This window comes from Homo sapiens, chromosome 5, assembly GCF_000001405.40.
Source record: "Homo sapiens chromosome 5, GRCh38.p14 Primary Assembly".
Lineage (NCBI taxonomy): Eukaryota > Metazoa > Chordata > Mammalia > Primates > Hominidae > Homo > Homo sapiens.
In genome coordinates this window covers 69,819,943-69,835,367 of record NC_000005.10, presented here as the reverse complement: position 1 = coordinate 69,835,367, position 15,425 = coordinate 69,819,943, and the positions used below count along the sequence as shown (strand labels likewise).

The window sequence follows — 15,425 nt, the reverse complement described above, 5'->3', positions numbered from 1 at the left end:
AAAAATCAGCTGCTGGAATAAACTAGTAATTTTAGCCACATCATAGAAAAAATAAGTCAACCCATTAACTTATTTCTATATATTTCCAATGAGCAATTAATGATAAAAATCAAATCCATGTAAAATACTAATAAAAATAAAATATGTATATATGATTTTAACAAATTACATGCAAGATCTCTCTAAATAGGAAACTAGCAAAAGTGTTGGGAGATGTAGGAAAGTTCTAAATAAATGGAGTCGCATACAATAATTGATGGTTTTGATGTGTGTCCCTGCCCAAATCTGGTATGATGTAATCTCCAATGTTAGAGGTGAGGCCTGATGGGAAGTGATTGGATCATGGGGTGGATTTCTCATGAGTGGTTCAGCATCATCCCTCTTGATACTGTTCTCATAATAGTGAGTGAGTGAGTTCTCATGAGATCTGGTCATTTAAAAGTGTGTAGCAGCTTCCCCTTTCACTCTCTTGCTGTTCTGGCCATGTGACGTGCCTGTCCCCCTTTGCTTTCTGCCATGATTGTGCGTTTCCTGAGTCTTCCCAGAAGCTAAGTAGATGCCAGCATCATCCTTCCTGTATAGCCTGCAGAACAGTGGGGCAATTAAACCTCTTTTCTTCATAAATTGTCGAATCTTCTGTATTTCTCTATAGCAATGCCGGAACAAACTAATACAATAATCATGGCTTGAAAGTTCAGTGAATTTTAGTGTGTAAAAGGTTTTGGTTTTTCCAAATTAATCATTCTAGAAATCCTCACCATAATCACAAAAGATATTTTTATATAAATTGACACACTGATTTAAAAATGTACATCAAGAGAGCAAAAACAAATGATAGAAAGCTGAAAAAAAAGTTGGAATACTCACACTTCCTAACACCATGCAATAACTTAAAGCTATAGTCATCGAGAGAATGTGTTATTAGTAGATGGATAAACAATTAGAGTAATGGAATGGAATAGAGTTCACAAATAGATCCATGCTTATATGAATAATATAATATCAAAGATACTGCAGTTATTCAAAGGGGAAAGATAATTTTATTTAACAAAGTGTGCAGAACTACGAGATAAATGTGAAGAAAACAAACCTCAAGTCCTTCCTCACAACAAAAGCGTGAATGAGTTCAAAATTAAAGGAGTCCAAAATATATTATGGAACAATGTGTAAAAGTGAAAGCATAGGCTTCAAATATAAAGCACAGAAAATGTCTTAGTAAACTACATGAAAGCACTTCTTTTTATCCAAACTGTGGATACATTTCTTTTTATTCAGAAAGCAATAATTATATAATGATAAACTACAGAAATGTGTAAATATATTTATACTTTAATGTTTATTTTTAATTACACAATTATATATACTATTTATTATGAATAAGAGCAAGAATATATAAATATAATGTACAACATAGAAACAAGAGAGCTATAAAAACTAACAGATGCTACACAAAAATGATATAATAGCAAATAAGCAAAGGAAAAATTTCTTAATATCGTTAGTAATAAAAAATAAAATGAGATAATTATACACATCTACTAGAAAAGCTACTATTTTAAAAATTGTGTTACCAATATTTGGCATAGATGTCAAGAAACCAGACTCTAGAGTTTGCATACATCGACGGTGGGAGTGTAACACAGTACAGCTACTTTGGATAACTAAATCTACCTTACATGTACCAATTCTACCCCTAGGCATTTATCCTAGGGGGGAGAAAAGCATAAGTCTGTAAAAAGGCTTGCACAAGTACCTTTATTCATTATTGTCAAAAACAGACACCATGCAACTGTCCACCAAGAGCGGCGTTCTCAAGTTCAGCACTATTAGCTGTTGAAGTGGCTTAATTCTTTGTTGTGGGGAGCTATCCTTTGTGGAACCCTGGCCTGTGGACACTCTATCCCCTCCTCCACAAACCTCTGATAACCAAAAGTGTCCCCAAACATTGGAAATGTCCCCGGCAGGTAAAATGTCCCTCATTTGAGAACCTCTGGTCAAGAGTTTAGTAAATAAATTATAGTGGTATGTCTATGAAATGAAATAATACGTAACAATAAAAAAAGGTGCTACTTCAACATGCAAGAAATTGTTGAATCTCAAAAATATTATGCTTAAGGAAAAAAGACAAAAAGAATTCATACTCTATAATTCTACTGATATATAATTGTAGAAAATAAAAGCTAATATATGGTAATAAAACCAGATTAGTACTGGATTGACAATGTGTTGAAAGTCAAAAGAAGAGGCTTGAGATCTCTTTCTAGTGTGATGGTTTTACAAGTATATACGTATGTTAATGTTTAAAAATTTCACACCTCAAAAATGTGCAGTATACCAGATGTTAATTATATCTCATAAAGCTATTAAAATTTTATCTCAAAATTATAGCTTTATTGCATTTAGGGCATTATCCAATTTTGAATCTAGTCCAGTTATCATAGCTTAATGCAGTATTATGAAAATAATGCCTATAAAGGTCCAGTTCCTCAAACACCCTTGGAACCAATTTTGTCATCTATATTAGTTACCTTGGGCTGCTATAATGAAGTACCACAAGCTGTGTGTCTTTAAGCAACAGAAATTTCTTCCCTCACAGTTGCGGAGGTCAGAGGTCAGAAAACAAGGTGTCTGCAGGACCAACCTCTCCTCTGGATGCTCTAGGTGAGAATCTTTTCCATGCCTTTCTCTTAGCTTCTGATGTTGCCATCAGAACTTCAGATGGTGTTCCTTGGCTTCTGTCAATATTAATACATAAATCCTTTTCAGTCTCAGCTTCTCTCTTCACATGGTCCTCTCCACATCCTATCTGTTTCTGTTCCCTCTTCTTATAAAGACAACCCATGTTATTTTAAGTCCCACCTACAGACATAATTTTAGCTTGATTACATCTGCAAAAACTTTGTGTCCAAATGAGGTTTCATTTACCTTATGTGTATAACTAGGGGTTAGGGCTTGAACATACGGGTTTGGGGAGGGGAACACAGTTCAGACCATGACACTCATTGTTTCACTCATTAATGAGTTAAGGGTGCTTTGATATTATTACATTTGAATGAGAGTGGTCTTTAAAATTACATTTTGTCGTGTAGTTTGTTCCACCCTGATGCTTAAAGGGAGTCACCTGCCTCAGCCAATTAAACTGTGTTGTCTCTGCAGTGCGTTTTATCACAAGAACATGACCTTTAAGCACAAGAACACCTTGTACTCCACCACTAAAAACAGAAATGACATCTACCTTCACTGCTTCCCTATTTCTCTCCATCTTTACTGACTTGGTATTTTGTTGTTGCTGTCATTTCTGGTTGTTGGTCAATTTTCATTTCTGTTCTTATTTTGCTGATAATTCTTATAAATCAGTGCTGAATTTTGTCAAATTATTTTTCTGCATCTCTACAGATGATCATTTTATGTTTTCGTCCCTGTGATAATTTAGTGAATGTCATTGATCAATTTTTAAATAATGAATATCTTTGCATTTAAGATAATATTTTTCACTATTAATGTTATCTCTGAAATGAAAGCTAAACCTAGTCAATAGATATTAGAGGTGCATGATTTTTAAAATTGTATAAAATTAGATAAAAAATACAAAGAAATATATATAATTTTAAAACTATGTAAAAATGTAAATGCCAAATGATAGAGCACTAAATGAAGCTTGTAATATTAAATACAATCTTTAGAAACTCTTTTGCAGTGCAGGAAAAAAATAGAACTGAAAACAAAGCAGAAGAAATCACAGATATAAAATTAAAGAGGATAGAATTAAGCACCTGAGTTCCCACATCTAAAGTGAAAATCTAAGAATTTAAATATCATTCAAATGCAGACTAAAATACAATATAAAATAAAATTTCCTGAGCTAATTTTTAAAATACTGCTTAATTTGTAGGTAAAAATGCAGACTAATTTTCTGACTATATTACTATAAAAACCTTCTACAAATATTTTTTAACTAAAATTATAAGAAAAACATCCGCCATAAACACGTAAGATTAGTATTTTCGTTTCTGAAGTATAAAATGTCTGGATAGACTTGAGCTTGTTGCTTTAGTTTTATATGTGAAGACTGGAAAAATTCTGTTTTGTTTTGAAAAATATTTTGAGCTAAAAATGTTGTATTCCACATTTGTTAGGAATGGAAGTCTTTAAAATATGAAATATTTCCAATTGAAGAAAAATAGTGAAAATGAACTTTATCTGAATAAGATTAATGAAAATTACATGTTGAAAAAGTAAAATAGTTATGTGTACTAACAGTGACTACTAACCCAACAATATAAAATTAAGTAAAAATGTTATTACCATGTTAAATACAAATTAAAATTAATTATAAAAAAGTTAAGATCTATGATTAAAGTATTAAAATAAAATGAGACTGTATTCACAAATCTAAAAGCAAATTGGTGAATGACATATTTTTTGAAATAATAAATTCTTTGGCATATTTTATATTTTTTATTATAAATGAAAATTATTTATTTGAAATATTTAAAGGAACAAAATATTTGCAGCTCTATTTTATTGAGAAAGGAATTACAAAACAAAAACAAGGAGCTTTTGTAATTACAAAAGAATATATTAATAATATTATTTAGAAGCACAAAACCAGAAAAGCTTTATATTATTTCTAACAATAAATGTAAACCATCTAATTTTCTGAAAAGGGGTGGAAATAAATATTTAACAAAGAAGATGTTATTCTTAAATTGTAATATGTACATTGCCTAAAAATAAAAAGGTAGTTGAAGATATATTGTGAACAACAAAAAATGAAGAGCTGATAATATTAATGTGCGAAGGAAACTCATAACATATTGTACTAATTATAAATCAGTGTATTGACAAAACCTGAGTCCTCAATTATTATTGACTGTCATTGACATGTTAATGATAGAATATTAAATATAGAATATAATAAAGCAATTTAGAATAAAAAAGAGAAAGCGATAGACATGAATAGAAACAAAATGCAACTGTTCAATATTAAAAGCCTTTCTAAATTGCTTGTGTTTTTCTAGTGACCTGTTTCGCTATGCAGTGTAGGCTCAGGTGTCTAGATTTTAGTTGCAGATAAACACAGGTAGTGTTTTCCAGATCTCAGAATGACCAGTTACATAAAAATAGGCCATAAACCATATATTTCATTCTTGCGGTTGACAAACCTCTAATTCACCTGAAAATATTAAAAAGAAAGAAGACAGACGTGACAGTGGTTGGAAGTTGAGGATAAGAAGAAGTTGGCAGAAATAAGCTTTCTTCTTTTGGACAGCAATGCATGATAAAAAAAATTAAACTAAATTCAGTTCATTTCCACTAACTGGGACTTATTTAGAATTAGAAACTTTAAGAAAGTCTGAAGAATTTCAATTGAGGAGTAAATAAGGGCCAATTTATTTCATAGTGTGGACTCTCAAGACAATATACAACAGTGCTTCTCAAAGTTAAACAGTGTATGAGTGACCTGGAAATGAAGATGCAGATTTAATAGGGCTGGAGAGAAGTCTGAGATTCTCAATTTCTAATGAATTAAATTACAAAGAGGAGAAAATAAGGTTATTGCTTACTTTATATACATTCACAAACACAGGCTAATCAAATAATTGTTTAAAGTATTGCTCTGATAAGAATTAAATTACATAGTTCATAGGAAACATTTTCTTTACATTCGGATTTTATCTATTATTAGAATAATAATAGAATCTTGACTTTATGTAACTCTATGTTCCAAACAACTAGAAACTTTTCGATAGCAATTGTTCACCATTTAATAACATTTTTCCAAGATACCTAATGCACTCAAGGACAAAATAGCTGCCTTCCAGTGATTTCCAATTTATTCAATTTTCAGGCCATCTGTCTGCCCACACAATGACAGATTATAGTTACATTCTTGCCATGCTCTGAACAGCTAAGCCAATTGTTTTCAATCTTTTTTCTTCAGCAACTCCATCTCTTAAAGTACTTCAGAGTAGTTCCTGAAAGGATTCCTCTTTAGTTAAATGGCTATACAGCTCTCCCATCATCCAAAATAATCAGTGGAGAGATAGCAATATTTTTCATTACATTAGGCCAAGTTCCATTGCTTCCTTCATCTTGTAATCTGATCAGAAACACCACTATAGATTCAATAATTGAGTTTAGAGTTTCAGAGAATTTGGGGTCACAGAACATCTATGTCTATTTTGTAAAGATTATTGCATATTACTGAAATAGCTTGTCAAACACTGCAGTCTGCTTAAAGTATCAAAATAGAAATGTTGAATGCTGTGTCTGCACAGAGTTCATTTAAGCAAAGAATCTACTAGGCTCTTAAGTCTGTTAATGCAAATTCCTGAATACAGCTGACCCTCCATACCCCCATTGTGGGTGGATTTAACTAACCATGAATCAAACATATTTGTTAAAAGAAATACCAAGAATAATTTTTAAAAAGAAATACAACAATAAAACAATGCAAATAAAAAACAATCCTTATAACAATTATGTGCATAGCATTTATATTGTATTCAGTATTATTAATGTAAGTAATAATCTGGAAATGATAGAAAGTATACAAGAGGGTGTGTGTAAGTTATATGCAAATACTAGGCCATTTTATATAAGAAACTTGAGCATCTCTGGCTTTTGCTATGAAGGGATGATGGTGGTAGGATTGGTGGTGGTCCTGGAACAAATCCCCAGCAGGTACCAAGGGGGACTGTAGACCCCAAAGCTGTTTAGGAATGGGTCACAGCAGCAGGACTGAGGCAGGAATGCTCCCCACAGAAAACATCAACCACCTGTTGATTTTTGAATCTGCTCCTCTCAGGCATGCCTTCAAATGCTATAACCTGGAGATTCAACTCATTTTCATGCTGCTAAGTAGGAATAGGTGATTCAATTCCCCAAGAAAGTGACAGAGGTCCCTGAAATATAGATTTAAAGTTACATAGTGTCAAATGCTAGTCATTTTCTTTTTGCTCGATGGTATCCTCTCAGAAAAACCTTTTATAATATTTCTAATTCATTTACCAGATTTATAGAATCATCAAATTGTCTATCCATGTGTTTTTCAAATATTTTGTGAAGTGTCTAGGGTAACAACCTAGTGTTCGAACGTATTTTGTGAAGTGGCTAGGGTAACAACGTAATGTTCGAACTTATGTTCGTATTTAAATACAAATGTATTTTGGTTGAGTGATTACTCAAGGTCACTGAGGAATCCACAAGGTTAACCTCCTGACTCTAGAACCATTGTTATATAGAGATATATAAATAGCTGATTTAATATTATAGGCTTAGCAAAATATTTAATAAATAAGGTCTTAGTAAAACAACACACATGTATTTATCCACTTATTTAATTTTGTTTTTCCATTTCTTCTGAACATAAGTTCCTGAGGACACGGGCCTTTTTTCACAGTTCATTTTTGGATTCCAACATCTAGCCAGTACTCTGCAAAGAGCACTGAATTTGAAAGAAATTTCTCAGTTAATGATTTGAATCATATAAAATATTTAGTAAATTTGAAAACTAGTAACCGTGTAAAGCGATTAAAACAAACATACTAGAGGGTAATAATCCCCCGCCCCTTGCCTTCTTCCTTTACATCCACTTCATTCTTATTCTTGTCTACTTCCCCTGCCCCACCCAGGGAACGTGGTTAGCCCATCAGCTGCAAAGATTGTTCTCATATAATATTGTTCCGATGGATAATGAGACTCTGAAAGTGGAACATAAACAGATAAAACAAAAACAAACAGAAAAGAACCCAAAAACCTAAACTCAACTTCAGTTAAAGCAGAAAATATCTGTCCAGCCTAAACCAGGCATACTCCACAGACTTCTGTTAGACGCCTGATCCTACTTCAGTCTGGAACCACCTAGTCTTCAGGTTTGCCTGGTGCTCACCAGCTGAAGAAATCCTTTAACGACCTTTATTCAGTCAAGTAAATCGTTTTCTTTTGGCAACTTGCATGTTATTTTTTAGGTTTTCATTTATTTATTTTTTTATATTTAAAGTCATATTTTCTTCCTTTTATTCACTTTGCTGGTCTTTCTCACTTTGATTTTTTTTTTTTTGCCTTGTTTTGCATTTGTTTACTTTAACATTTTTTGTAACTTATCTCTTTTATTTTGGAAATTATTCACATTATCAGTTTTCTTTTGCTAGGCAATTTTGATATTCTAATAAACATTATTAACATAAAATATAAAGTTTACTAACACCAAGCCCAAACAATACAAAGTCTTAGGGCTCTTTAATTGCAATTATTTAAAAATATTTGCTACAAATTGTTCATTATTTTATATTCATGTTGTTTTTCTTATTCCCACAAATCACATATTGTTGGTGTGTTTGTTAAATAAAATTGTGACTGCTTATATATGTTTTTTCACATCCTTTCTTCTTCTAATATTTTGGAATTTACATCCAGTTAATTATCCTTTATTCTATGGTACATACTGTAAAAGTTACTATTCTTGGTAGTAAACTCTCAGTTTTTGGATTGTCTGAAGATGTCTCTATTTTGATCTGCTCTTGAATTCTAAATCTAATTGACATAAAATTCTAGATTTGCCGTTATCATTTATTAGCACTTCAAAGATATTCCACAATTTTCTGACTTTCAATATTTTTGTTGGTAAAAATGGTGATTGTTAATTGGCTTGCATATTCTGTTTTGGATATTCCACTGTTTCCTTATAATTTGTTTATTTATAAGGAAACTTATAAACAAATTATAAGGAAACAATAGAATATCCAAAATAAAGAGAATAGTTATGGGTTCGTTTAGATAATTCTTCAGAATCTACTAATTTGTGTCTTTCTTCTTTACTTCTGTAAACTTTTCAGCTACTATATATTAGAATATTTCTTAACTTTTTTATATTCATTCTGAAATTTCTTGCTGAAATTTGTTCAGAAGGTGAGTTAACGGAGCTATACATCTTTAGTGTCATGTGCTCTAAATTGCAAAATACATGTATTTTTATTTCAGACAACTTGAGTAACATTTGTGCAAATGTTTTATATACACGGACTTAATTTGGTAAATTTAGGCATGTGGTAGACAAATTTAAAAATGTATAAAAATCATGGGCAAGCATATGAACATTCTATTTTTGCTACTATAAAAAAATAGCAGACTATCCAACTATTTTATGATACTCAACGATACATCTTACTAAATGGTCACGACTCTTGCCTCTCAGGGTCAGAGTTTGCAATAGTGAAAGCAAGAGAAAGCCACGGAAAAAAAAACAGGGAGAGGGAAAATATTAAGCTCTAGAATATGTACATTGTTTTGCTTGTATAAATTTAGAACATTCAACACATGTTTACAATGAATACATATAAAATACCAATGACATGAGGAGAATTAGAATAGAAATAAATACAAGGATTCTTTCATGATAACTAAAAATATCAGTGAAGGTTTGTACATAAAATTTAGGGATTTTATATTATTACCTAATACAATTCTGGCTATAACATCACTAAAGGATTGTAAACGTCTGCTGGGAAACCTATGGGAAAAAAATGCAAGTGGAACTGGTGTCATACAAACACATTTTCTAATGGGAAGCTTAACTGGTGAAATGTAAGTTGGAAACATTACTCAATTTAGGTCTATGAAAATGTTTTCCCAAATACAATCTTTTCTTGTTTGATAGGAGGTTTTACTGTGATGTATTATTTCTGACAGCCTCTTTTTTTTTTTTTTTTTAAAGGAAACGAGTAGAATTAAGTGAATTGATTATCATATCTAACCTGTAAGTACAAATTACTTTCCCTTGGAATTACATAATTGATAATTGTACATCCTCAGATGTGTTTGAATCTGAGATTTACTCTAAACTCAGAGGAAAAAAAGTGAAATTTTGTTTCCATTGTGACACCTTTGTTTCCTTTTTAAGTTTTCAAAATTTCTTAAAAATTATTTTTCCCTTTCATAATTTATTCAACAAGTATCTATTGTTAGGTGTTGGGAACACAAGACCTAAAACTCCTGACAAATATATTCTATTTCTGAGGTCAATTTGTACATTAATAAATGCATATATAATACCAGACAAGATTGTAATGCTAACCAGTTTGACTTTGAGGCACGGTATTCAGAATGTAAATGCCCCTGGAAAAAACATTGAATATAAATGCCCCTGGAGAAAGAATGTAGTTGGAAAAAACATTCTGAGGTAAAATTATGCAATATTGGTATGACTAATTAGAGTGACCAGAGGTTCACACATTTTTGTGACATGCCATTGGTAGAAAAAGAGCCATAGCTGAAAAAATATGGCAGTCATAAGATGTCAGTGGAAATGAAGACAAGGATACCTTTTGGTCAATTTTCTTGAAAATATTGGCTTTTTCAACAGTGTAGTTTATTTAAAATTTAGTCCCAGTTCTTAGCAATTATTTATATACTGATGGACTTATATCCAGGGTCTTCTTGAATTAAAAAAAGTCAAAAAATAATTTTATAAATTTAAAATATTATAAAATTATGATATATACAATTCTTGCTCTCTCTGTCATATTTTTCCAATTTTTTGTCTGTCTTGTTTTTTCTTGCCTTTTCTTCCCTGTCCTTTCCCTTTCGTTTCTTTTCTTTTTGTTTCCTTTGTCTGGCCTTGCTTTGAGTTTCTTTTCCAAACGAATTCACTGGAGGTGGTATTTTTATGCATAATATACACAGCAAATGTCTAGGGCCTCTCATTTTTTACAAATCTTTGTAAGAAAAGGCTATCTATTAACCCAATGACATTGTCATAACCTTTTCTAAATTTCAATGATATTCAGTTTCTCGCAGCTATTACATTACAAAGTATACCTCAGTAAAAATCTAGTAAGTCATAGGGCTGATGTTGCTGATTGCTCACTTGCTCAAGCCAGAAGCTTAGAATACATGCTTGATTCTTCACTTTCCTGTGGGTTTATGCCAAATCAATTTCAAATCTATAGATCTTATCCTCTAAATAACATACAGCATGCCTACTTTTTTCTCTCTCTCGACTACTGTCACATTAATTCAAAAGAAAAAGACTGATGATTCCTAACTTCCTGGCTTCAGTAATTGGCAACGATGACATCACTACTAAGGCTTCACTTCTCACCTCTGCTTCCATATGAGTGTAATGTTATTTTCTCCTATGACAGATAAGTTTATTTTTCACCATTAAAAGGTAAGAAACTCACTCATAACCAAAGTTGGAGGAGACAGTTATTTTTTTTCCCCAGCTTGCCTGTTAAAACCATAAGGAATGATTAATCTGCCATGGTGCTTGATGTGGCCCAGGGATGTGCTCAGACTCAGTCATGTAGGGGCAGGTGGTATTAACATTAGTTCAAACATGGAACCATGGCATGTGTTAGAAATAATGGCTTATATTAGAAACTGGACATAAAATTGTCGTGAGCAAGAAAGTTACCTCAATTTGAGTCTACTAGAAGTTTCAGAGTGCCATTTCACATGGCCACAAAGTTCAAAAGTTCCAAAAGAAGCAAAAGTTTGACCAAGAAATCAGTGATTTTTTAAAAAAGAGAAATTGAGCTCAATCATGTTTTTTATATCTTCTACTGTACTAAAAGTTTTTTTCTCAATAATTGACTAAAAGTTCATTAACTACTGCACAGACTTCAATATTTAGAAATGTAATACGGGCTTGCTAACTAAAAGTGAAGTTATTTTATTGTCGGAACTAGCTATTGTTAGAAAGACTCATTTGCTTTTTATAATACAATTTTACATATGATTTATAGATTGACAGATTATAACAATTTATAGATTATTACCTCATTAATTTATTGAATAACCTGACTAAATTACTTAGTCACTGAATTAAATACAACCCAGCCTTAATACTTTGGGTCAAGGAACATTGACCAAATATGTATTTATGCCACAGATTCCTTGAAATTTCTTACCAAAGTAAATTGTTTCATGAAAAATACAGAAATAAATTGGTAACTAAATAAAACATGTTCTATATTTCAACTTGAAAAATTAAAGAAATTAATAATTCTTAAAATCAAAGCAATGATCATTTGTTTCCTAATTATTATTATTGTGAATGTACTTAAAATTTTTGCTATGCTTTTAAGAAAGATGTACTTCTATTAAAAATTATTAAAATAAACAGCAGAGAGACTGACTTTTCAAAATAGTTTATCTGGGAAGAGCAATGAACTGCAATTTGGGATATGTGTACCGTACTGAACCATAGGCACATTTGAAAAAGCTGGGGGAGCCGAAGCTTTTTTAAGGGTAAAAGGTGAAGTTCCCCATCAAACTACCGTTGGCATTCTTCACAGAATTAGAAAAACCTATTTGAAATTTCATATGGAATCAAAGAAGACCCCATATAGCCAAGACAATCCTAAGCATAAAGAACAAAACTGGAGGCATCACACTACCTGACTTCATTACTGCAGGGCCTCAGTAACCAAAACAGCATGGAACTGGTACCAAAACAGACATATAGACCAATGAAGGTGAACATAGACCTCAGAAATACACCACACGTCTACAACCACCTGATCTTCAACAAACCTGACAAAAACAAGCAATGGGAAAGGATCTCATATTCAGTAATAATGTGGGAAATCTGGCTAGCCATATGCAGGAAACTGAAACTGGACCCCTTCCTTACACCTTATACAAAAATTAACTCAAGATGGATTAAAGACTTAAATGTAAAACCCCAAACCATAAAAACCCTAGAAGAAAACCTAGGCAACAACATTCAGGACATAGGCATGGTGGGCAAAGACTTCATGACAAAAATGCCAAAAGCAATTGCAACAAAAGCCAAAATTGACAATGGGATCTAATTAAACTAAAGAGCTTCTGCACAGCAAAAAAAAAAAAAAAAAAAAAAACTATCATCAAAGTGAACAAGCAACCTACAGACTGGGAAAAAATTTTTGCAATCTACCCATCTGACAATGATCGAATATCCAGAATTTACAAGGGACTTAAACATGCTTACAAGAAAAAGACAAACAACGCTATCAAAAAGTGGGCAAAGGATATGAACAGACACGTCTCAAAAAAAGACATTTACGTGGCCAAAAAGCATACAAAAGAAGCTCAACATCACTGATCACCAGAGAAATGCAAATCAAAACCACAATGAGATGCCATTTCACGCCAATTAGAATGGAGATTATTAAAAAGTCAGGAAACAATAAATACTGGAGAGGATGTGGAGAAATGGGAATGCTCTTACACTGTTGGTGGGAAAGTGAATTAATTCAACCATTGTGGAAGACAGTATGGGCATTCCTCAAAGGATCTAGAACTAGAAATACCTTTTGACCCAGCAATCCCATTACTAGGTATATACCCAAAGGAATATAAATCATTCTACTGTAAGGGAACATACGTATATATATTTATTGCAGCACTATTTACAATAGCAAAGACATGGACCCAACCCAAATGCCCATCACTGATAGACTGGATAAAGAAAATGTGGTACACATACACCATGGAATACTATGCAGCTATAAAAAAGGAATGAGAGCATGTCCTTTGCAGAAACATGGATGAAACTGGAAGCCATCATCCTCAGCAAACTAACACAGGAACAGAAAACCAAATACCGCATGTTCTTATTCGTAAGTGGGATTCGAACATTGAGAACAAATGGACACAGAGAAGGAAACAACACACGCTGGGGCCTGTTGGAGGTTGGGGGGTGAGGGGAGGGAACTTAGATGATAGGTTGAAAAGTGTAGCAAACCACCATGGCATACGTATACCTATGTAACAAACCTGCACGTTCTGCACATATATCACTTTTGTTTGTTTTTTGAAGAAGAAGAAGAAATAAAGAAAAAAAAAGGTGAAGTTCATGTAAATTATTTTAAAATAAACCTCTTTGGCCCCAGAAGCTTATTGCTTGGTATGGACAAATACTCATCGGTGATACTGGCTATTGCTGGGAAGATGTCTTCATAGAAGCGTCGTATCTAAAATTTTTGTAGTTTTCAGGGAGTCCTTGCAATAATTCTTTTAGAGACATCCATGCATGAAGGGCCTTCTTTTATACTCTCCCAGCTCCATTTTGTTGTGGTTTGACTTCAGTGAGTCAACTTCTTTGCTTGTAACTTTAACATTTCCCCCCTTTGACCAAGAATTTTTTCTGAAAGCATTGCTGATTAATCAGCCTATAGTTAGGTTTTGATTGTTTCTTGGTGCTGGAGTGGACCTTTCCTAGTCAGTCTGATCCTGCATCAGAGGTGAATGGCCAGCAACTAAGAGCAGATGTCAAAACCCTTTTAGTCACATTTAAGAAACAAAGAGGTTCAGAAGGAGTGGCTCTCAGGATAAATCTGCCTGGAGTTCATTGCTAAGTTCAATTTTGTCAGTTCCATAGGCATTGACTACCATTTGGAAGTTCTGGACCAGTGTTATTCTGTTAGATGCATCATTTCTGCAGAGGTTGGACAGGAAACAGATAAAAAGTTTAAAAAGAATGATGCGGTACAAAATTAATAGTAACATGAAATATTGTCTATGAACATGGACCCAAAGGCAGCCAACTAATGAATCAAAAGTCTATGTGAGACTGAGTGAGATCTGTTGTAGCCATAAAGCCTGTCTTGCTATTTTATGCAATTAGGTCTTGACTTCCCCAGAGAAATATATTCAGGTACAGCATGTAGTTATTAGCAATGGCACAGACATTCTTGTTCAACCAGTAGATAATTGAGAGTTATCTCATCCTGTCCTGTTGTGTTATCTACGGCTACTCAGCAAGATACTTTAATGAGCACTGCTGGGCGGCAATAGCCTTTGCGGTGAAGCCTGCAATGAAACCCAAGGTGGCAAATAAATTAGGGATGTTGCCATAGTTACCCACTGGGTGGACTAAAGGATCCCTTAGGTCATGTAAAGATGTGGGTTTGACACGACAGATCCAAAACTTCATTCAGTTACGGAAGCTACTGAATGTGAAATTCTAACCACAGCGTTATTCTGCCAAGTGAAAAATGTAGGCATAAGCAAGAAAAAAAAAATAAGAAGGATAAGAGTCCAGTTTTGTTACAATGTCTTGGGAAAAGCTTTCCACACTGTGATGTCATCAACTTCTTACTCTGGTTTGTAGTTTGAATGTTCCTGGGTATAGCATGGGGCATTTTAGTCAATTCTCTTTGTAGCCCACACAATAGCCATGAGATTTCTCTCTTGAAATTTACATGGAGTTTTCTGGCTCCAACTTGTAGGACTTTAGGAACAAAGGCAGTTTATGTTCTTAGTTGGAGAATCGTAGCCAGACGTTGGAGGAAATTAGAATAATTAAGTGCCCTGTCTAATTTAGAGATAGATGACAAAAACTTGAAAACAACAAAGAAAACTACAATCTAATAACAGGTGTACTGCAGTTTTTCTTCAGAAACATAATTTTTCTCTGTACAATCATCCCTATT

General features: G+C 32.9%; 1 long non-coding RNA gene across 2 annotated transcripts in view; it reads left to right on the top strand.

Moving 5' to 3' along the window:
- The window catches only part of LOC105379623 (uncharacterized), a 35,178-nt gene that overhangs the window by 8,997 nt on the left and 10,756 nt on the right, over positions 1 to 15,425 (top strand). For both annotated transcript variants that reach the window (XR_001742419.2, XR_001742418.2), the window contains exons 3-4: positions 2,597 to 2,661; positions 9,719 to 9,760. This is a non-coding gene — a long non-coding RNA (uncharacterized LOC105379623). The remainder of the gene's footprint in view (positions 1 to 2,596; positions 2,662 to 9,718; positions 9,761 to 15,425) is intronic.